Source organism: Homo sapiens, chromosome 1 (genome assembly GCF_000001405.40).
Source record: "Homo sapiens chromosome 1, GRCh38.p14 Primary Assembly".
Classification (NCBI taxonomy): Eukaryota; Metazoa; Chordata; class Mammalia; order Primates; family Hominidae; genus Homo; species Homo sapiens.
In genome coordinates, this window is record NC_000001.11 from 22,951,918 (window position 1) to 22,973,172 (window position 21,255).

At 49.4% G+C, this 21,255-nt stretch overlaps 1 protein-coding gene across 1 annotated transcript, besides 2 other annotated features; it reads right to left on the minus strand.

Moving 5' to 3' along the window:
• Window positions 1–1,125: 1,125 nt before the first annotated feature.
• LACTBL1 (lactamase beta like 1) lies at window positions 1,126–20,949 on the minus strand. The gene is made up of 8 exons (NM_001289974.2): window positions 20,855–20,949; window positions 20,388–20,514; window positions 13,373–13,508; window positions 11,190–11,299; window positions 8,025–8,182; window positions 6,768–7,003; window positions 3,404–3,509; window positions 1,126–2,107 (listed from the first exon to the last, which is right to left on the minus strand). The coding sequence occupies exons 2-8, from the start codon at window positions 20,397–20,399 to the stop codon at window positions 1,126–1,128; spliced, it is 1,740 nt and encodes a 579-aa protein (NP_001276903.1). The 5' UTR covers window positions 20,400–20,514; window positions 20,855–20,949.
• Window positions 9,400–9,575: a silencer, noted in NCBI's record as "fragment chr1:23287810-23287985 (GRCh37/hg19 assembly coordinates)". NCBI's record gives its function as "represses an EF-1alpha promoter that drives an FKBP-Casp9 reporter gene in an ReSE screen in K562 erythroleukemia cells {active_cell/tissue: K562}" and the evidence as "EXISTENCE:reporter gene assay evidence [ECO:0000049][PMID:32094911]".
• Window positions 12,515–13,015: an enhancer, noted in NCBI's record as "H3K4me1 hESC enhancer chr1:23290925-23291425 (GRCh37/hg19 assembly coordinates)". NCBI's record gives its function as "activates a minimal SCP1, AML or CMV promoter by ChIP-STARR-seq in naive H9 embryonic stem cells {active_cell/tissue: H9 hESC(naive)}" and the evidence as "EXISTENCE:reporter gene assay evidence [ECO:0000049][PMID:30033119]".
• Window positions 20,950–21,255: the final 306 nt, after the last annotated feature.

Sequence of the window (21,255 nt, forward strand, 5' to 3'; positions counted from 1 at the left end):
AAAGAAGACAGACACAAAAGACTCCACCATATGGTTCCATTTGTATGAAATTCTAGAACAGGCAAAGCTAATCTATAGTGACAGGAAGCAGATCGGTAGTTGCCTGAGGCTAGGGGAGAAAGAGAACTGACTCCAAAGGAGTAGGGGGAAATCTTGGGGGTGATGAAATTTTCTATATCTTGATTGTGGTGGTGGGTATAAATATTTGTCAAAATCACCCAATGGTACTCCAGACATGTGTATTTCATTTTATGTAAGTTATAATTCAATAAGGTTGATTTTCATTTTTATTTTTTTGACAGGGTATTGCTCTGTCACTCATGCTGGAGTGCAGTGGCACGAACACGAGTCACTGCAGCTTCCAACTCCTAGACTCAAGTGATCCTCCTGCCTCAGCCTCCTGAGTAGCTGGGACTACAGGACACCACACCCAGCTAATTTTTATTTTATTTCTGTAGAGATGGGGGTCTCACCATGTTGCCCAGGCTTAGGTTGATTTTTTTTTTTTTTGAGATGGAGTCCCACTCTGTTGCCCAGGCTGGAGGCAATGGCGCAATCTTGGCTCACTGCAACCTCCGCCTTCCAGGTTCAAGCGTTTCTCCTGTCTCAGCCTCCCCATTAGCTGGGATTACAGGCACCCTCCACCATGCCTGGCTAATTTTTGTATTTTTAGTACAGCCGGGGTTTCACCATGTTGGCCTGGCTGGTCTCGAACTCCTGACCTCAAGTGATCCGCCCGCCAAGGCCTCCCAAAGTGCTGGGATTACAGGCGTGAGCCACCGCGCCCAGTTGCTTAGGTTTATTTTTAAAAGACAAAATACAAGCCCATATTTTGTTTTAGATTCAACAGGCACAAAACTACTGTTTCGATGCTTAAATTTTTGGTTGCCTGTTAGTTTCTAAATGCTTACTCTTAATGCCTGTACTTAATCCTTCCTCCCCTATAGATGTGGAGAAATTTGAATTTCTGGCTGTGGTCCAAGACCACACTTTGAGTAGCATCACCCTACTCCACTTTGCCAACTACCCGGGTTCTCCAACAGGCATTCCCACAGGCTCCCCTTCCAAACCTTACTCTAGAAAGCTGGGAGGCCAGGGACAGGGGGGTCCAGGCAGAGCCCGGGGTCACTGGGTCTTGAACACCGGCTTGCCCCGCAGCCGCAGCACTCTGTACGTGTTGAGGCCGGGCACGTCGAAGCCGGGTGACAGCCCGTGGTGATCCAAGGGGTAGAAGTTGACCAGCTGCCCGTGCTGGGCCTCGAGCGAGAGCCACGCGTCGCCGAGTGGCAGTGCGCAGGGGAACTCGTGGGCCACGTGCAGCTGGAAGACGCGGCCGTGCAGGTGGCGCAGCGCCAGGGTGCGGAACGCTGGAGGCACCAGCGCCTCCACGCGCGGCCCGAACTGGCGCAGGCGCAGCTCGCCCGCCGGCCCGGCGCGCACCTCGTAGAAGGTCAGGTTGGCGAAGGTGAAGTAGCCGGCGAAGGGGTGCGCGGTGGGCGGCGGAGCCGGGCCGGGCTCGGCCTCCCGGAGGGCGCGCTCCAGGGCGGGCAGGAGCTCATCGTAGGCCCGCGCCACCAGGTCGGGCCCGGGCGGCCGTGGCCCTGCCAGCAGCAGCACCAGGCCCAGACGCAGCGGGGGCACCAGCGAGAAGGTGGCGGCGTAGCCGTCCAGATCGCCGTCCTTGCGCACCACGCGGTAGCCCCGCTGCGCGTGGAACTCCCACGGCGTGCCCGTCTCGTTGGCGAAGTAGGCGCCCGGGCAGGCCAGCAGCGGCGCCAGCAGCGTCTTGGCCGCGTCGGGCCGCAGGAGCCGCCGGGGCCCGCCGCCCAGGAGCGCCACGGCCAGCTTGGCCAGGTCGGCGGCGGTAGAGTACATCTGGCCCGACGGCCGGTACCAGCCCAGGTCATAGAGTGGCGCCGGCCGCCCGCTGCCGTAGAAGCCCGCGGCCAGGCGCGCGCGCACGTCGGGCGTGAGGTCAAAGCCCGTGTCTGCCATCCCCAGCGGCTCCAGCACGTTCTCCGAGACCCAGCGCTGGTAGTCGCCCTGGGCGGTGTGAGCTGCCAGGACGTGGGCCAGGAGCGAGAAGGCCAGCGTGCTGTAATGGCATCTGGAAGGAGAGCAGTGGCAAGTGGGACGGGGCCCTTCCTCACCCGCCCGCGCTGTCTGAAATGCCACCAGTTTCATGGGACTGGGCGGGGCTGGGAAGGAACCTGCTCCCCTGCATCCCAGGTGGTCAGACCTGGAAGAGACTTTGGAGCACTGACTCTGACTCTCTTCTACATCTGGGAAGACCAAGGCCCAGAGAGGGGCGGGGAATTGCCCAGGGTCATACAGCAGGATGGAGGAGAGCTGAGCTCAGCGGTGCACCTGGGAAAGCTGTCACACAAATCTTATTGGTCCTTCACACTTTAGTATGATTTACCTTATCTAATGGAAAATTAAAGGCTTACACTGCTCTGGGGAAACAAAAATGATAGTGACCATGTATGAGGCAAGGTCTCACCCCTCCCTTCTTCCAGGCTGTAGCAGACACCAGTAACCAGCAAGAGGCCTCTTTTCTTTCCCAGAGCAAATACAGTTTCAGAATCTCTAAAACAGAAAGGTGCAAGGATGTGTGAAAATTCACAAATTCTCCTAGGCATTCCTGAACTCTGGGCCAACTTCCTTATTTTTGCAGATGAGGAAGATTAGTTAGATGAGTTTCACAGAGATAAAGTGCACCACCCAAGGTCACATTGCCATAGTTATTTGCAGAGCTGAGAGGAGGACTCCAGCCTGAAGATGTCCAAGCATCTCCTCTCTCTGCATCTCCTGGATCATTTCTTCCTTAAGGGAAGTGGGGCCTGAGGTTCAGCATTTGGAGAAGCAGAGGGACAAATTTGGAAAAGGGTCACTGACCAGCGGCTCAGAAGGGGGCCCCTGAAGCTGGGGAGTGCCAGCTGTCCTCTGTCCAGCCCCACAGCCCCACTGCTCCCAGAGTGGGGCTTCTCTGTTCAGTGGCCACCCAGCTATCCACTCCCCATCTGGTCAGCAACCCGTTTATTTCCAACCTGGCAAAATCTGTATTCACCTTGCTTATTTGCTCACGGTGTCTCCCTCACAAGAGTGCAAACTCCACGAGGAGCAAACCGGGTGTTTATCACCTTCTGGGCAAAGTAGGTGCTCAATAAATGTTAAGTGGGTAAATGGAAAAAACATTCCATTCAAACAGAACAGGATTCTGGGCCCAGCTCTCCCCTGTCTTGCTGGCCTCCCCTCTCTAGGTCTTGCCCTTTGCAGCTGGGGAGCAGGTCTCTCCCGGCTCTGCCAACCTAGGATGAGGTGATGTGGGCTCTTTGCCAGGCAGGTGTGTCTCCCCAGGAGGCTCCTAACATGAGGCTGGGCATCAGGGTATGCTCCTCACCTGGTTCCCGGGTCCACTACCAGCACATCGTCCTTGAGCAGGTTCAGGGCCTCCTGGGTGCTGCCCTTCCACAGCAGTGAAGTGGAGCGCAGCCTTCTGGGCAGCCCTAGGGAGGAGCAGTGGTCAGACTTACCGGGCCCGGCTGAGGGTGGGATGGTGGGCCCCTGGGTGCACTCCCTCCCCACCTTCCGTGAGTTGAGAGATAACAACAACAAATCAGTTTTTTAAAAAAGAAAATCAGCCTAGCGTGGACTCCAGTCCTGCCTTCTCTTCCTGCCTGTGTGTCACTGGGCAGGTCACTGGGCCTCTCTGAGTCCCAGTCCTTCATCTGTAATATAAGGGAAATAATCCTTGTACCCAAGGGCTGATTAGATTAGATTGGATAAAATGTTTAGTATGGTGCCTGGCACATACTAACTGCTCAAAAAATAATTGCTATCATCAACTATAGAAAGTTTGGGGCCGGGCGCGGTGGCTCACACCTGTAATCCCAGCACTTTGGGAGGCCAAGGTGGGCGGATTGCCTGAGGTCGGAGTTCAAGACCACGCTGGCCAACATGGTGAAACCCCATCTCTTCTAAAAATACAAAAAAATTAGCTGGACGTCTTGGCATGCGCCTGTAATCCCAGCTACTCAGGAGGTTGAGGCAGGGGAATTGCTTGAACCTGAGAGGTGGAGGTTGCAGTGAGCTGAGATCGCACCACTGCACTCCAGCCTGGGTGACAGAGTGAAACTCCATCTCAAAAAAAAAAAAAAAAAAAAGAGTTTGGTCCAGGTGTGGTGGCTCACACCTGTAATCCCAGCACTCTGGGAGGCTGAGGCGGGAGGATCACTTGAGGCCTGGAGTTTGAGACCAGCCTTGGCACCATAGCAAGACCCTATGTCTACAAAAAATAAATAATTAGCTGGACTCAGTGGCACGTGCCTATAGTCCTAGCTTCTTGGGAGGCTGAGGCAGGAGGATTGCTTGAGCCCAGGAAGCCAGGTTGCAGTGGGCCATATTCATGCCACTGCACTCCAGCATGGGAAACAGAGTGAGACCCTGCCAAAAAAAGGAGAAGGAGAAGGAGAAAGAGGAGGAGGAGGAAGGAGCCCCAGTTCTGTGTGTGGGAGTGACACCAACCACATCCATTGACTGAGACTCAGGCCTGAACACACTTTGTAAAATGATGACATGGTGGGCACTTGAGGGATTCCTACCTTTTGGAGTTGATGGGTTTATGACTGCAGATATGACCAAAGGCGTCTGGGGCAGGGCAGATAGTACCTGTCTTCACCCCCTTACCTGTGTCAATCACAGCAAAACCCAGCACCCCTCCCTCTAAAGACCAACAGAGGGTCCTTCAGAAGCTTTCAGAGCAATCCCTCCGCACCTGCCTTGCTCTGTTCCTGATCCCGCCCTGCCCAATTCCCGTGCCCCAGCTTCATCTTCCAGTGCCAGCCTGCTCCTGCCCCCAACCTTGTCGACTTCATCTTGACTTGTTATCATAGCTTTATGATTATAAAATAATTTATTATAATAAGTAATTAATTTACATGATTTAAGATTCAAAGGAAATCAAAGAGTATACAATGGAAAATTTTCGTCTTACCCTTCTCCCTAGCTACCCATTTCCCCTCCCTAGAGGCAACCTAATGTTTCAATCTCTTTAGCTCCCTTCCAAAGATATTTGATGCATATATAAGCTAATATATACTACATACTTGTGTTATATAATATGTACATTACACATATTCATATACACATATCCATTATATATGTATATATTATTTTAATTATTTATATGGTAGCATACAAAATATGCTGTTACATGCTTTTTTCCTACTTAGTATTCTATCTTATTCCATCTCAGTACACGCAGAACATGATTATCCTTTTTTTAGGTCTATACAGTGTTTGATTGTACAGCTGTGTCATAGTTCATTTAGCCACTCCCCTATTGATGGACATTTAGGTTGTTTCAGCCTTTTGCTATTACAAACAGTGCTGTAGTGATCAACTGTGTATTATACATCCCCCATGCCAGACATAGGTGAGTACATCTGTAAGAGAATTTCCTAGAAATGAAATTGCTGAGTCAAGGGGGACATACGTTTTAAATTGTGATATTACCAATTGCCCTCCATACGGCTGCACCAATTTAAATTCCCAGCATTGATGGGTAAGAAGGTCTGTTTTACCACAACCTCAGCAACTCAGGGCGTCATCATGTTCATCTTTGCCAATCTGATGGGGGAAAACATGTCTCAGTGTAGTTTTAATTTACATTTATGTTGTTATGAATGAAGTTGAGCACCTTTTAATATTTCTTAATATTCTTTTTTTTTTTTTTTTTTTTTTTTTTTGAGACAGAGTTTCTCTCTAGTCACCCAGGCTGGAGTGCAATGACGCGATCTCAGCTCACTGCAACCTCCGCCTTCCAGGTTCAAGAGATTCTCCTGCCTCAGCCTCTGGAGTAGCTGGGATTACAGGCGCAAGCCACCACACCCAGATAATTTTTTGTATTTTTAGTAGAGACAGCGTTTCACCATGTTGGCCAGGCTGGTCTGGAATTCCTGAGCTCAGGTGGTCCGCCCGCCTCAACCTTCCAAAGTGCTGGGATTAAAGGCGTGAGCCACCACGCCCAGCCCTTAATATTCTTAAGAGTATTTTCTGTGAGCTCTCAATTCTGTTCCTCTCCTTTACCCATTTTTCTGCTGGGCTGTTGGTCTTTGTAATAATTTGTAGGTGACTTTTATATATTAAGGGAAATTAGGTCTTCTGTGTAGAATTGTTTACAAATATAAACTTTTTTTCTTTTTAGAGACTGGATCTTACTATGTCATTAATCATAGCTCGGTGCAGCCTTCAACTCCTGGGCTCAAGTGATCCTCCCACCTCAGCCTCCCGAGTAGCTAAGACTACAAGTGTGTACCACCATGCCTGGGCTATTTTTTAAAATTTTTAGAGACGGGGTCTTACTATGTTGCCCAGACTGGCTTAGAATTACTGGGCTCGAGTGATCCTCCCACCTCGGCCTCCCAAAGCACTGGGGTGACAGGCATGAGCCACTGAGCCTGGCCACATATTGACTCGTTGACTTGCTCTTGCCTTATCAACTTCATTTTGACCTGCACTGATGGGTAAGACCTGCCAACTCATCTTGATGTTTCTACTTGGTCTAAATTTCCAGGCTTCAGTTCAGCTTTTACCTCGAGAGATGTTTCTTTCCCTGGCCCACCACCCACATCCCATGAGAGGGACGTAGGGCCAGTTCAGGAAGCAGAGCCAAGAGTGAGCCCAGCCTGGCTGGATGAGAACCTGTTCCTCAGCTTCCCCACCTGAAATGGTTTGGGTCAGCCTGAGTCAGTTCTGAGACTCACCTGAGAGCTGGCTGGCCATCCTTCGAAGGGTGACAGGTGAAGGCCTTGGGGCGGGGCCCACCTGCTCCAGCCCGTCCATCAGGCCCTGCTGTTCGGCTGATGCCAGGCCCAGCGGGTTGTTAATGGTGAAGGTGCTGGCATACCGCTCCAGAGGGTCATCTAGGGAGGCCACGATGCCCTCCTCCCACAGACGGTACAGCATGAGGACAGGAAAGATCTTGGAGATGCTGGAGATCCTAGATAATGTTGGGAATACAAGCAGTCAAAGGGCATCCTGTTGGCCCCACAACCCACCTCCTGCCCCCATCCTGCAACTTTTTAGTGTTCTAGAAAAGCACTGCATCCCTGCTTAAGTCAACATCTCCAACAGAAATTAACCAGCCTCTGTGGAGCTGCCTTTGGGATGCTTGAGAACGTAACCAGAAGCCGAGGGGCTGAGGTGGGATGGATATCCTGGGCCAGGCTCTTTTCCAGCCATTTCCCATTCAGGGACAGACCTGAGTTTGGATGGTGTCTCTGCCTCTCACTGGCCATGTGGCCTTAGGCAAGTTTCTAGACCCATCTAAGATTCAGTTTCATTGTCTGCTTCACCGGTTGTATTAATAAAAGAATGGAACGAGGTTGTGCATGCAAAGTGCCTGTCTACGTTCCTAGGAGGTGGTAAGTGCTCAGTACATGTTAGCACATATAACTGTTGGCCCCATGCCTGGCACAAAGCAGGTGCAATTTAAATGCAATTCCCTCAGGACTCCTGTAAAACCCACAGTGTCCCCAGGAACAAATGTGTTCACTCTGCATCATGAACTTTGAGGATCCTGCAGGCAGCATGCAGAAGGGGAGACTCCAGATATGCAACAGAATGTCCCCATCTGTTTGCATCTGGGCCACTGCTGCCACTTGACAGGGACCTGGGGCAAGGACCTAGGAACTGGTTATGGTTCCTTTGTGGCACATGGTCAGGGTTGGGGGGATGGGCACAAGGTAGCCTTTTCTAGTTTGGGAGGTTTAGGGCTAAGGTTCTTTCCAGAAGGGATTCCTTCCTGACCTTTTACCCCTGTGATGTAACATTGGGAACTCACTGGACTTCAGTCCTCTCTGGACTTCGGTCTCCTCTTCTATAAAACTGTCAAGACTTCATAATAGGCCCTGGCAGATTAGACCCCAGCCATGATTCTCTTCAGTATCCTTACCTCCTAGGTCTCCCTTGCCCTCCCATCCCTTACCCCTCCACAGGACCCTAGAGATCACCCAGCTGACCTGTACATGGTGTACTCATTGGGGGCCCCAGAAGCCGGGTCTGAGCCATTCTTCTTCCCAAAGTTCCCTGTCCAGAGCACAGTATCATTGTGGATGACAACTGCAGACATGGCAGCCACGCCTGGGGCAGACATTGCCTGGCGCAGGATCTGGTCCACCTTGAGGGAAAAGAACGGGTGCAGTGACAGGCCCCCCTGCCCTCACCCTCAGTAATCATCTGCAAAGCCACCCTCGTCCATAGTCACACCCTGCATGCAGCACCCCAGTGAGCCTCCCAGCTATGCCCCATGGGCTGGGGCCCCCACTGTTGGGCTTCTTCATAAGATGTTTTCTCAAAGAAACAGTTTCTTAGCAAAATAAAAAAGGAGAGGGGGTTAAAACGACTGCTTTAAGGCTGGGCATGGTGGCTCATGCCTGTAATCTTAGCACTTTGGGAAGCCAAGGCGGGCAGATCACCTGAGGTCAGGAGTTCAAGGCCAGCCTGGCCAACATGGTGAAACCCTGTCTCTACTAAAAATACAAAAAATTAGCTGGGCATGGTGGCGGGCGCCTGTAATCCCAGCTACTTGGGAGGCTGAGGCAGGAGAATCACTTGAACCCAGGAGGCGGAGGTTGCAGTGAGCCAAGATCTCGCCACTGTACTCCAGCCCAGGCAGCAAGAGCGAAACTCCGTCTCAAAAAAAAAAAAAAAAAAAAAAAAACCAGCTACTGCTTTAGTCAAACCCATGTCTGACGCCCTAAAAAACCTCCAATAGGCCTAGCCTGAACCCCTAGTGTTGGGGAATTCACTATTAATACAGTGCCTGTAGGCCCTCTTTGCACGTTTGTTTGGTTATTTATTTATTTTATTTGTTTTTAGATGAAGTCTCACCATGTCACCCAGGCTAGAGTGCAGTGGCTCAAGCACAGCTCACTGCAGCCTCAACCTTCCAGGCTCAAGTGATCCTCCCGCCTCAACCTGTGGAGTAGCTAGAAGTACAGGCACATGCTACCACACCCAGTTAATTTTTTAATTTTTTGTAGAGACGGCGTCTCACCGTGTAGACCAGGGTGGTCTCCAACTCCTGACCTCAAGCAGTCTTCCCACCTCAGCCTCCCAACATGCTGTGATTACAGGTGTGAGCCGCCTCACCTAGCCTGAACATTTATTGAAAATACCTCATCATTTTCAATGATGAAGTGCAATGATGACGATAACAGCTGACATTTATTGGACATTTAGAATGTGCCAGGCATGGCATAAAGTGATTTTCATACATTGTCTCCTTTCATCCTCGTGAGTCAGTGCTAATTTCTGCCCATTTTACAGATGAGAAATGAGAGCCTATGAGATATGAGGTGACTTGCCCAAGTGGCTACTGGCTGATGGAATCAAGATTGGAACCCTGTGCTAAGTCCAGCCCCACTTCTTTTTTTGTTGTTTTGGTTTTTTGTTTTTTGAGACCAGAGTCTCGCTCTGTCACCCAGGCTGGAGTTTAGTGACATCATTTCCACTCACCGTAAACTCCACCTCCCGGGTTCAAGCGATTCTCCTGCCTCAGCCCCCCGAGTAGCTGGGATTACAGTCATATGCCACCACGTGTGGCTAATTTTTGTATTTTTAGTAGAGACAGGGTTTCACCATATTGACCAGGCTGGTCTTGAACTCCTGACCTCAGGTGATCCGGCTGCCTCAGCCTCCCAAAGTGCTGGGATTATAGGCACGAGCCACCGCACCTGGCCCCTACGTCTTAATTAACTGCTGGACCACCTTGCCACGTGATTTTACATATCCTTGGCTGAGCTCGGTCCACCTCCACTTCCCATCCCTGCACTAACTTTGCCTTTCTTTTCCTCGCTTTGTCACCCTGGCTGGAGTGCAGTGGCACGATCTCGGCTCACTGCAACCTCCGCCTCCTGGGTTCAAGCGATTCTTCTGCCTCAGCCTCCTGAGGAGCTGGGATTACAGGCATATGCCACCATGCCCGGCTGATGTTTTATATTTTTAGTAGAGACAGGCTTTCACCATGTTGGTCAGGCTGCTCTTGAACTCCTGACCTCATGATCCACCCATCTCGGCCTCCCAAAGTGCTGGGGTTACAGGTGTGAGCCACCGCGCCTGGCTCTAACTTTGCCTTTCTGAGCCTCTGTCTCCTTCTCTATAGATAGGGACTCATGAGGAATGCATGTAAGTGGTTACATGGCAATGGCGCATTCCAGGTGCTCAACAGAAGGCAGCATGGTTATTATTGTTGCTTTTATGAAAATTTGCTATAACTCCTGAAAGCCACATAGCACCCTTCTGCTCTCTCCCCTTCACAAAAACCTTTCAGGTATTTGCAAGCAGTGATTTTTGTCTCTGCATTGGCCCACACGTTCCCTTCTCAGCACTCAACAGCCCTTTCCCTTTAACTATTCCTCGGATGATAGTTTTGAGTCTCCCCCACCATGCTGCGGCTCATATTCTTCTGATCATGTTTCACTCATCTCCATGTCTCCCATGGTGGGTGACCCAAGTGGCTGGGCTCTGACTGGCACAGACTAGAGCTGACTGACACCTGCCTCTAGGGTTTGGCCATCCTGCAATGGTAAATTTTGTGTTGGGGAGCATGGAGTGTTTAATCATATCGCGGTGGCCTCTGCAATGTGGGCTCTGTCATCCTCTCCTGTCTCAGCTTCCCTACTTCCCACCTATGGCCTCTCAGTTCTCTGTATGTGTCATATACTTTCTGCAGCCTCCAGGCCCTTCCACGTGCTGTTCCATCTGTCTGGAGCACACCTCTCCATCCCCAGGGTCCCTCACCACACACATGTCATCTGGGTGTCTGCTACTTATTCACATCTCAGCCTAGACACCACTTCCTCCAGAAGGAGGAACTGACCCTAAGGCCTGTTCCTTTGTGCCCCCAAAGTCCCCTAAACTTTTCTTACCCTCACTCTTGCCCCAGGATTATAAATGTTTGGTATCTTCACCGTTCCTCTCGCTTCCAGATTAGTAATTTCTTGAGAGCAGGTCAGTGTCTTCTTCCTGCCATATCCATAGTGCCTCGCACAGAGTAGATGCTCAAGAAATACATGTTGGACGGATGAATGAATGAATGCCACTGCCAGCACAGAGGGACTGCCCTCCCCTTCATCACCCAGGCCCAGCCCATATGCCCAGTTTCCTCCTGGGTCATCACTGACCTTTTCCAGGGCCTCCTTCAACACGGGGAGTGGGTGAGCCAGGGGCACGGGCTCAGGGTGCCGGGGACACATCCTCACAGGGGCAGAGGTCTCCTCTGGTCCCAGGGAACCTGGAGGGAACATCACATGGTGAGGAGGGGACAGAGATCAGGATAGGAATCTAGGGGGAAAGTGGCAGCAAAGGCCAGAGCAGTGCCTCAAGGACAGCCCTCCCCAGCCGAGCCGAGCCGGGGGATATCAGGGTCCAGAGACCAGCCCTAGCCCCTGAGGGGCCTAGGGAGCAAAGTGTGCCCTTGGGGAGGAGGCACAGCCCTGCAGGCCACAGCTCCTGGTTGGTGGTCACTGTACTCCCCTCTCTCTTGCTTAACCAGCTTCCCATCTCCTGTGGTCAGTGGACTTAGACCATTCTGGCTGCGTGGGGCAGGCTCAGCCACATCTGTCTGTCTGACCTGCTGTCGTCCTGATTATGTGTTTGGGTGGACTTCGAGCCCCACTTAGGACCCAGGCCTAAACCACAGCGACAACTCATTCTCTCACCAGAGCTGAGCATCAGGGCTTTGGGGGCCTGAGTCTGTTCTGCCTTTGTCCGGGTGTGTGGCTTCCTCGGCACCTCAGGCGAGAAGGTGAAGTGCTGGCAGGACAGGATTCAGGCTGTGATATCATCACAGCAGCACCCAAGCCTCTTCCTCTAAGGCTGGAGTGGGGTGTGAAGGGGGATGAGCATCCTCCAGGACTATTAATACATCCTCCTCGTCTTCCACTGTGCCCTGAGACTCCACCCCAAAACTGAGACAAGGTCCCTGCGGTAGGTTTCATATGACCATAAATTCTTGAGACAGAGTCTCACCCTGTTGCCCAGGCTGGAGTACAATGGTGCGATCTCAGCTCACTGCGATCTCAGCTCACTTCAACCTCTGCCTCCCGGGTTCAAGCGATTCTCCTGCCTCAGCCTCCCGAGTAGCTGGGACTACAGGCGTCCACCACCACGCCCGGCTCATTTTTGTATTTTTAGTAAAGCCAAGGTTTCACTATGTTGGTCAGGCTAGTCTTGAACTCCTGACCTCAGGTGATCCACCTGCCTCGGCCTCCCAAAGTGCTGAGATTACAGGCATGAGCCACCGTGCTCAGCCATAAGACCATAAATTCTGTCAGCTCCTTCCACCTTCGAAGCTGGCTGGCTTTGTGACTTGCTTTGGCCAAAAGAATGAGGCGGAACAAATTGCGACCTTTCTAGGCTAAACCTTAAGGGGCTTACTCCCTGCGAACACTGCCACCTTGTGGACAGGTCTGGGATAGCGGTCTTGAGAGCAGGAGTCCACGCTGAGGGAGACACCGCCCCCCTCAACCCGACCCCCAAGCCGACTTGCCCAGTGCACCAGAGAGAGCCCAAGCTAGACCAGCAGCAGAGCTGCCAGCCAGCCCACAGAATCATGGGAAATAATCACTTGCTTTGTCTGAAGCCAGTAGGCTTTGGGGTGGTTTGTTACTTAACAATAGATAACTGACGCAGACCCAAACAGGAAAATTACAAACCTTAGGGAGGATTTCTCAACAACCCCATGACATGGGTTTCACAGAATAGGGTGGTCCCAGCTAGAGCCTAGGCTTTGCTCAGCCTGGGACCCAGGTAGGGGCTAGTGTCCACAGTGGTGCTCCTCCTGCTTTAATTGGCAAACAAAGGGCCTGGTAGTTATCACTGTCAGTGGTGGCTCCTTTATTGGGCCTTGACCCGTTCAGGAAGGAGAGGCTCCAAGGCTTGGCAGCTGCTGCCCCTGAACACCTGTGAGTTGTTCCTATTGAGGTCTTAGATACAGCTGCAGGAAGGTCTTGAAAGGGGGCTGGAGCCTGGAGATTCCATCATGGTGGCCAAAGGCAGAGGAAGGGAAACACCGTTTGCTCTTCCTTTGGTGTCCTTGAATTTTACCCCCAAACTGGGTGTCTTGAAGAAACCCCAGTGGCATCAGGATCCTCATTTTATACACGAGGACATCGAGGCACAGAGAGGCAACAAGACTGTCCCAAAGATGCACAGCTAGTGAGAGCTGGACTCAGAATGGAGTCCAGAGCTTCTGAGTCTAAATCTTATGGTCCTCCCCTACACACTAGAATCAGGGGTGGCAGCTCAAAGCCCAGGAGGACCCAGGGGGCTATGGGGAGGAACTCAAGGCTGTCTCTGCACTCACCGGTCTTCAGCTTGGGGAGGTGATACTGCCACAGGAAGCAGCCAGTCATGACCACTGAGAGCAGGCAGAAGAAGCTGCAGATGGCCGGGAGGAGCCACTTCTTCTTCACTTTCAGCAAGTTGGGCCACCAGCCATCCTGGGAGAGCAAGGACATAAGGTACAGTCCCCTTGGGGGTCAGTCAGAGGGAAGAGAGGGACCCTAACCCTGGCCCCTCCTAGGCCTCAAGTTAGCCAGACATCACAAGAGCCCACAGCTTTGGATAAATTTCACAGTTGTGAAACCAATGCCCTTCCCAGTGTGACTCTTTCAATAGTTCTGCCCTCCAAGAGCACCCACCCCTTTGCTTGCTGTACCTTGTTCCCCTATGGACTTAGTGAAATATCGTAAGACCAGCTGAAATGCCACCTCCTCCAGGAAGCTTTCCTCAACTCTCCTGTATTAGTCTGTTCTCACGCTGCTAATAAAGGCATACCCAAGACTGAGTAATTTATAAAGGAAAGAGGTTTAGTTGACTCACAGTTCAACATGGTTGGGGAGGCCTCAGAAAACTTGCAAGTATGGCACATATTTCATTCTTCTACTTATATAAAATGTCTAGATAGACAACCCATAGAGACAGAAAGTACATTACAGGTTGCCAGGGGATGGGGGTAGCAAGGAATGAAGAGTCACTGCTAATGGCTATGAGTTTTTGTGGGGGTGATGAAAATGTTCTAAAATTGATTATGGTGCTAATGGCACAATCTTGTAAATATGCTATAACCACTGAATTGTACACTTAACAATGGTGAATTTTATGTCATATGAATTATATCTCAATACAATTCCTTGAAAATAATAGTACCTACTTGTATTCAGTTGCAAGGATTAAATGAGTTAATAAATTAGAACAGTAGCTGGCACACGGTAACACTACATATGTGTTAGCTATTATTGATTGCCTCCTATGTGCTAGGCACTGAGCCAGATATTGAGGATATACTGATGAACAGAAAGGGACTCTTTCCTGCCTTTTGGAGGTTTACAGTTTTACGAGGAGATGGGTGTTAACCAAATACATTGCATTAACTCCTCCTTGCCTACCTCCCTTTCTCAAAGGCACATCTTCCACTTCTGTCCTACAAACGTGGTATTTCTCCCCCTTCCCTCCTCTGTCCTCAGTACACACGCAATCCCTCAGTGGTGAGTTACCAAATGAGAAATGAAAGGAGACATCACTACAGATCTTACAGAGAAATATTATGAACAACTTTGTACCAATCCATTTGACAGTTTAAATGTGGACAAATTCCCTGAAAGACACAATCCCCAGGTGATCTCATGCACAAGGACACCAGCCACATGCTCATGGTTTCCGATTCTCTTCTGCCCAGCTCTCTCCCCTCTACTTCAGACTCCCATTTCAACTGCCTTCCGAGCATTTCCACCTGGAAGTCCTCAAGCACCTGGAACTCAACATCCAAAACAGAAAACTCACTTGTTTCACCCCCTCCTCCTTCTCTCTTATTTTCAACATCACCTCATGGCACCTGCCTCCACTTAGTCATGCTTCAGGGTCTGCCTGGGCCCCTCTATCTCCTTCAATCCCTACCTCCAGCCAGTCATCAAGCCCTCCTGGCCTGTTACAATTAGAAAATATTTCAAGCTTACTGAAAAAAATACACTGGGCCCAGTGGCTCACTCCTATTATCCTAGCACTTTGGGAGGCCAAGATGGGAGGATCACTTGAGCCCAGGAGTTTGAGGCCAGCCTGGGCAACATAGTAAGACCCTTTCTCTACAAAAAAATTAAACATTGGCTGGGTGAAGTGGCTCACACCTGTAATCCTAGCACTTTGAGAGGCCAAGGCGGGTGGATCACTTGAGCCCAGGAGTTCAAAACCAGCCTGGGCAACATGGCAAATCTTCGCCTCTACAAAAAATACAAAAATTAGCCAGGTATAGTGGTGTGTGCCTGTAATCCCAGCTACTCAAGAGGCTGAGGTGGGAAAATCACTTGAGCCTGGGAGGTGGAGGTTGCTGTGAGCCAAGATCACACCACTGCACTCCAGCCTAGATGACAGAGTGAGACCCTGTCTCAAAATAAATAAATATAAAAATAAAAATTAGCCAGGTGTGGTGGTATATACCTGTGGTCCCAGCTACTCGGGAGTCTGAGGTGGGAGGATTGCTTGAACCTGGGAGGTCGTCGAGGCTGCAGTGAGCCATGATTGCACCACTACATGCCAGCCTGGATGACAGAGCAAGACCCTGTTTCTCTCTCTCTCTCCATATATATACACACACACACACACACATACATAGATATACACACACATATACACATATATATAATGGTTCCATACATATATATATAGAGAGAGAGAGAGAGAGACAGACAGACAGACTTATAATGTAATGAATCCTTGGGCACTCAACACTCGACTTTGTTGAATCTCAACATTTTATCATATTTTCTCATATATTTACATTTTTCAAATATGCTATGTCCTTGCTTATTTACTTTGTCTGTTCAGTTTCCCCATCCCATAAGGATTGTTGTTTGTTTTGTTTACTGAGGTATTCCCAGTACCCAAAGCAGTTCCTGGAACATAGCAGACCCTAATAAATATTTGTTAAATGCCTGACTGGATGAAAATAAAACATCCTAGGTGGAGTTGAAGTCCTCTGTGTACCTTTCATGGATCTCAGTCCCTTCCTGCTCTCCCCAAATGTAACACCCATGCTTGATCTTGGTGTTTATCATAATTATGCACGTGTTTATTCTTTTACTATGTGTTTATGTTTCCATAAACAGCATGTAGTATTGTTTTTTTTGAACGTAAATAAATGATTTCATACTGTATAATCCTCCTGCAACTTGCTTTTTATTCAGTTAGCTAACTACAATTCTGGGTTATTCATTTTGACTTCTGTGGAGTGTGTTGTTGTATAAACATACTGGGTAGTGTAGTAGTTAGAGCCCGGGGCCAGACTACCTTAAAAACGTGACTATTTCACAGTCCAGTTGGGAATCCTGTGCTAGAAGTGAAATTTCTGGGTAGCAAGGTACAGCCATCTTCAACTTAGCCACATACTATTCTGTTCCTCTCTAAAGTTGTCATTCCAATTTATGCTCGTCCCACCTTTGATTCTCATTGCTATTAATATTTCTAATCTGCATCTTCTTGGTGACTAATAATGTTGAATACCTTTTCATGTATTTATTGTATGTATTTGGGTTTGATTTTCTGCAGTTGGACTGTTCTCCCTTGCCTGGTCTTTTTCTATTCTCTTTTCTTTACTTATTAGAGTTCTTCATATACTCTTGTTTGTGGCTTGATTTTCACTCTGTGTTGATAACTTTTGTGGAGAGACAGAATAGTGTAGTGGTGAATCCATGGCCAGATTGCCTGATTTGCAATCTTAGCTCAGCCACTTACCACTGCGTGACCTTAAGAAAATCACTTAACCTCCCTGTGCTTCTGTTTCCTCACCTGTAAAATGGGGACGATAATAGTGCCTAACTCATAAATTTGTAAGGATTAGATGAGTTGATGTATAAAAATAACATTGTCTGACACATTGTAAGCCCTGTTAGCTATTACGGTATTTGGGGATTGTTTTGAGACAGTCTCACTCTGTCACCCAGGCTGGAGCGCAGTGATGTGATCAGTTTTTGCATTTTTTGTAGAGACAGGGTCTCACTATGTTGCTCAGGCTGGTCTCAAACTCCTGGGCTCAAGCAATCCTCCCACCTTGACTTCTGAAAGTGCTGGGATTACAGGCATGAATCACTGTGCCTGGCCAACTATTACAGTATTTTTGAATAGGAGGGCTTTTGGTTTTGATTTTGGTTGTTGCCAAATTTATCAGTATTGTCTTTTTGGTTTGCATTGTGTATATGGTGCGTGTGTGTGCTTAAGAAATCTTTCTTTTCACAGAGGTCAGAAATAGAGGTTTTTGTACTTTTACACACAAAAGAATTTTTGGTTATAGAATAAAGTAGGGATCCAATTTTATTTTTCCATTTGGATAATCAATAGTCCAGCACTATTTATTAAATACACCAACCTGTCCCCCACTGACTCATATGCCAACTCTGAAGTATATCAACAGTCTGTACATACTGACATCTGCCTTCTGGGCTCTGTTCCAGGAGAGTCTTGCTGAGTTTATGTTCCATCCCTCCCTGTCCAACCCTGCACTCTCTTCCACAACAAAGATCTCTCACATGTTGAGCACAGTGTGCCAGACGCTGTTCTACAGGAAACAATCTGGCAAGAGAGACTTTCTATGATCCGACTCCAGCGAACTCCGCCAGCCCATTCCCTGCCCCTCCCCTGCCCCCTGTGTCTTTATGCCCCCACCTCCCGCATCATTGCCCCTCTCTGTACTTTTGCACCTGCCATTCCTTGGGGCTGTGGTTTCCTTTTATCCTTTTCCATCAGAAAAACTGTGTTCTTCCCTTAACACCCATAGGCATCTGTGAAGCCTTCTCATTCTTCCCCAGGCAGAGCCGCTCATGGTAACTGGCTACTACTGGCTTCTTTGTCTGGGTCCCTACAAGGTAAGGATTCTCTCCAGCACCAGCAGAGAATTCCCTCCTGGCTCTTATGCCTTGGACACCTAGTACCCCACCTGGCACTAGCAGGTTCTCAGGAAATTCTTTTGAACTTTACATGGTTCTGCAAGTTGAAAGACTTGGGTTCAAATCTTAACTCCACTCCTGAGTCAGTTGTAACTCTGGACAAGTCTCTTCCCCTCTCTGAGCCTCTACTTCTCCAGGTGTTGAAGAGGGTTGGCTACTTGTAAAGAGTTTACTTTTACATCTGGAAATCTTGTGTGATTTCAAAAGTGTCTTTCAGCTGTAGAATCTAGGGTTCTCACTGAAATCATCTTTGGTCATAATATTCAAAGACTGGAAACAACCCAAATGCTCCTCAATTGGTGAGTAAATAGACAAACTATAGTACGTCTGTACAAGGGAATACTACTCAGCAATGTAAAGGAACGAGCTACTGATACATGCAATAATGTGGATGAACCTCAAAGCATGATGCTAAGTGAAATAAGCCAGACTAAATGGTTACAGACTATAGAATACAACTCATAGAACATTCTGGAAAAAGCAAAATGATAGGAACAGAAAACAACTCAATGGTTGTCTGGAGGTAGGGATGAGGTAGACTACAAAAGAGCAGAAGGGACTTTGGGGAGGTCATGGAACTGTGCTATATGTTTATCGTGGTGGTGGTTATGGGATTTTATACATTTGTTGAAAGTCATAGAACTCTGGGAGGCCGAGGCAGGAGGATCACTTGAGTCCAGGAGTTCAAGACCAGGCTGGGCAACATAGCAAGACTCTGCCTGTACAAAAAAATAGAAAAAAATTGCCAGGCATGCTGGCATGCACCTGTAGTCCCAGCTACTTGGAAGGCTGAGGTGTGAGGATTGCTTGAGCCCAGGAATTAGAGGCCGTAGTGAGCTATGATCATGCCACTGCACTCCAGCCTGGGCAACAGCGCAAGACCCTGTCTCAAAAAAAAAAAAAAAAAACAACTCTTAGAACTGCACAGATTTTATTTCATGTAAATGATACCTCAATTGTTATAAAATAAAGCAATTAAAGATCCCAAAAGCATTGGGATTCTCTACCTGTTGGAGGAGTAACCCCAGATACAAAGGAGTGAATGGAAGGCTCTCAGATATTGCCACTGGATCATATGGAAGATACTCCCCTCCTGGCATGAACACAGAGCTGCAGGGGCAGTGAGGACCCCTTGGTGGGAAGGCAGCCTGCTATCCCCTAACTGGCACCTAAGGTGTAACCAGCAGATCCTTAGCTTATTTTTAGGTGAAGAATAAAATTCAGAGGCATTAATTGACTTGCTGAGTCCATGGGCAGTGAATGGCAGAGCTGAGATTCAAGCTCTGTAAGATGCACCACCCCCCTCCTCCTCAAAATGCAGCTGGGATCTCTACACCCCCAATTTGTAGCCCTCCTCTGGGGCCTAGCCTCATCTCGTCTGTCTCCAATCTCAGGATTTATTCCAGCAGACCCGAAGATGGGTCAGTATTTAATCTCTAAGCTGCTTGCCAGCTGCTCACAGTTTGACTTGCAGTAGCCACTAGAAATCTCTTTCCTTTCCCTTCCCAGCTGGAAATTGCTGGCAGTAGGGGAGGGCCCAGGAAGAACCAGGCTCTCCCAAACCCCACCTATAACACGGCTCCACCACCCCCCAACCCCTGCTCCTTCTCAGGTGTTCTGTGCCCCAATCACCCTCACCTCCTTCCTCATGCTCACGGCCCACTCTGGGACAACTACTCTTTGTCCAGTTATTCATTCAGAAAACAATCCCCGAGGGCTTGCTGTGCTCTGGGCCACATCTGCCCCCAAGGAGCCAGAAGGACAGTGGCATAATCAGACACAAGGGCCTGGGGCCAGGGAAGTAGGACTTGACTCTGGCTCTGCCGTTACTAGTTCTGGACAAATGACCTCACCCTTTTGAGTCTCAGATTTCTCATCTGCATAATGCAGATAACAATTGTTCCTACATCTTATAGGGTTTAGTTGAGAATAAATAAGATAGTGCATGCAAAGCCCATAGAGAGCTGTTCACCAGTTGGTAGCTAGAGGTGTAATAAAGGGCTTCAGGGCTCACAGATACAGATGAGCTCAGCCTAGGGGGAGGGAGGAGGAGGAGAGAGTCATTGAACAGGTAGTTAGGAATGAGCTTGGGTCACTCCAGGCAGAGGCCTCTGGGGATGTAAAAAGGAAGAGGAGTTAGTTTCTGGTTTGTTTTGATAATTCAGTGAGTTTATGTAAAACATTTGAAACTGTTCCTGGCCTGCAGGTGCAAGCTCTAGAGATGATGATGATGATGATGATGATGATGATGATGATGATGATGATGATGATGAAGGTAACGTGGGGGGGATTTAGCCCAATATTTGAAGCCAGAAGGACGGTGGCATGGTCAGACATGTGTCAGAAGCTGACACATGGTGACAGCTTCTTGAGGCTGTGCCTCACCTGGGTCTTCATTCTCTCCAAGGCATGGAAGATTCTGGCTCTTTGAGGATTCAGGTCTACACCACAGGAGATCCCGTAAGCAGGAAACTGAGTCAGAGGAGTGAAGGCAAAAAGAGGTCCTGAGGGGCTGGAAAAAGAGGAGGGGGACAGAGAAAAGCTAGAAAACAAGGAGGGTAGACGAGGATGCGGGGGATCAAAGCAGCCCTCCTCTTCCCATGGCTCCCCCTCCCAGGTGAGAGAAACAGCAAGCTCAGAAACCCCTGCCAGGTGACCCGGCATCCCAGTTTGTCCAGGACTGTCTTGATTTTAGCACTGAAAGTCCTGCATTCCCAGAAACCCCTCAGTCCTAGGCAAATGGGACCATTGGTTACCCTGTGTGCCCCGCATTGAATTCCAGCTCCTCTTCCCCACCCCCAGCCTGCAGAGAACAATCTGGTCAGGCCCTCAGGCTCTTGGCCACAACTTACCCTCTCCAGAAGGTACCAGCAAGAACAGGGCAGTTAGGGCCCCAGTTTGGCTGACAGTGCCTCTGGGAGTCCCCTGTGTTCCAGAGGACAGGAATGGCTTCCTGGGCTCTGAGGCACAGGCTTTACCAAGCTCTCCAGGGGCTGGCAGATGTGGCGCCTAATTTCCCCGGTGCTAATCCCTCAGAGTGCCTGCTGCCATGGGGATTAGCTTCTGGGGTCCCCAAGCAGCGGGGAAGCGGGGGAGATCTGTCAGGGAGCATTGGGTAACATCATGTGACCCGAGTGCTCCAGGCTGGTGAAGAAAGGAACACTCTCTCCAAAAGGAGTGTCTGCCAAACCCAGTGTGGAAAAGGGATGTCAGGAGGCCACCAGGGTCATTTCCAGCTGGGAAGGGAAAGGAG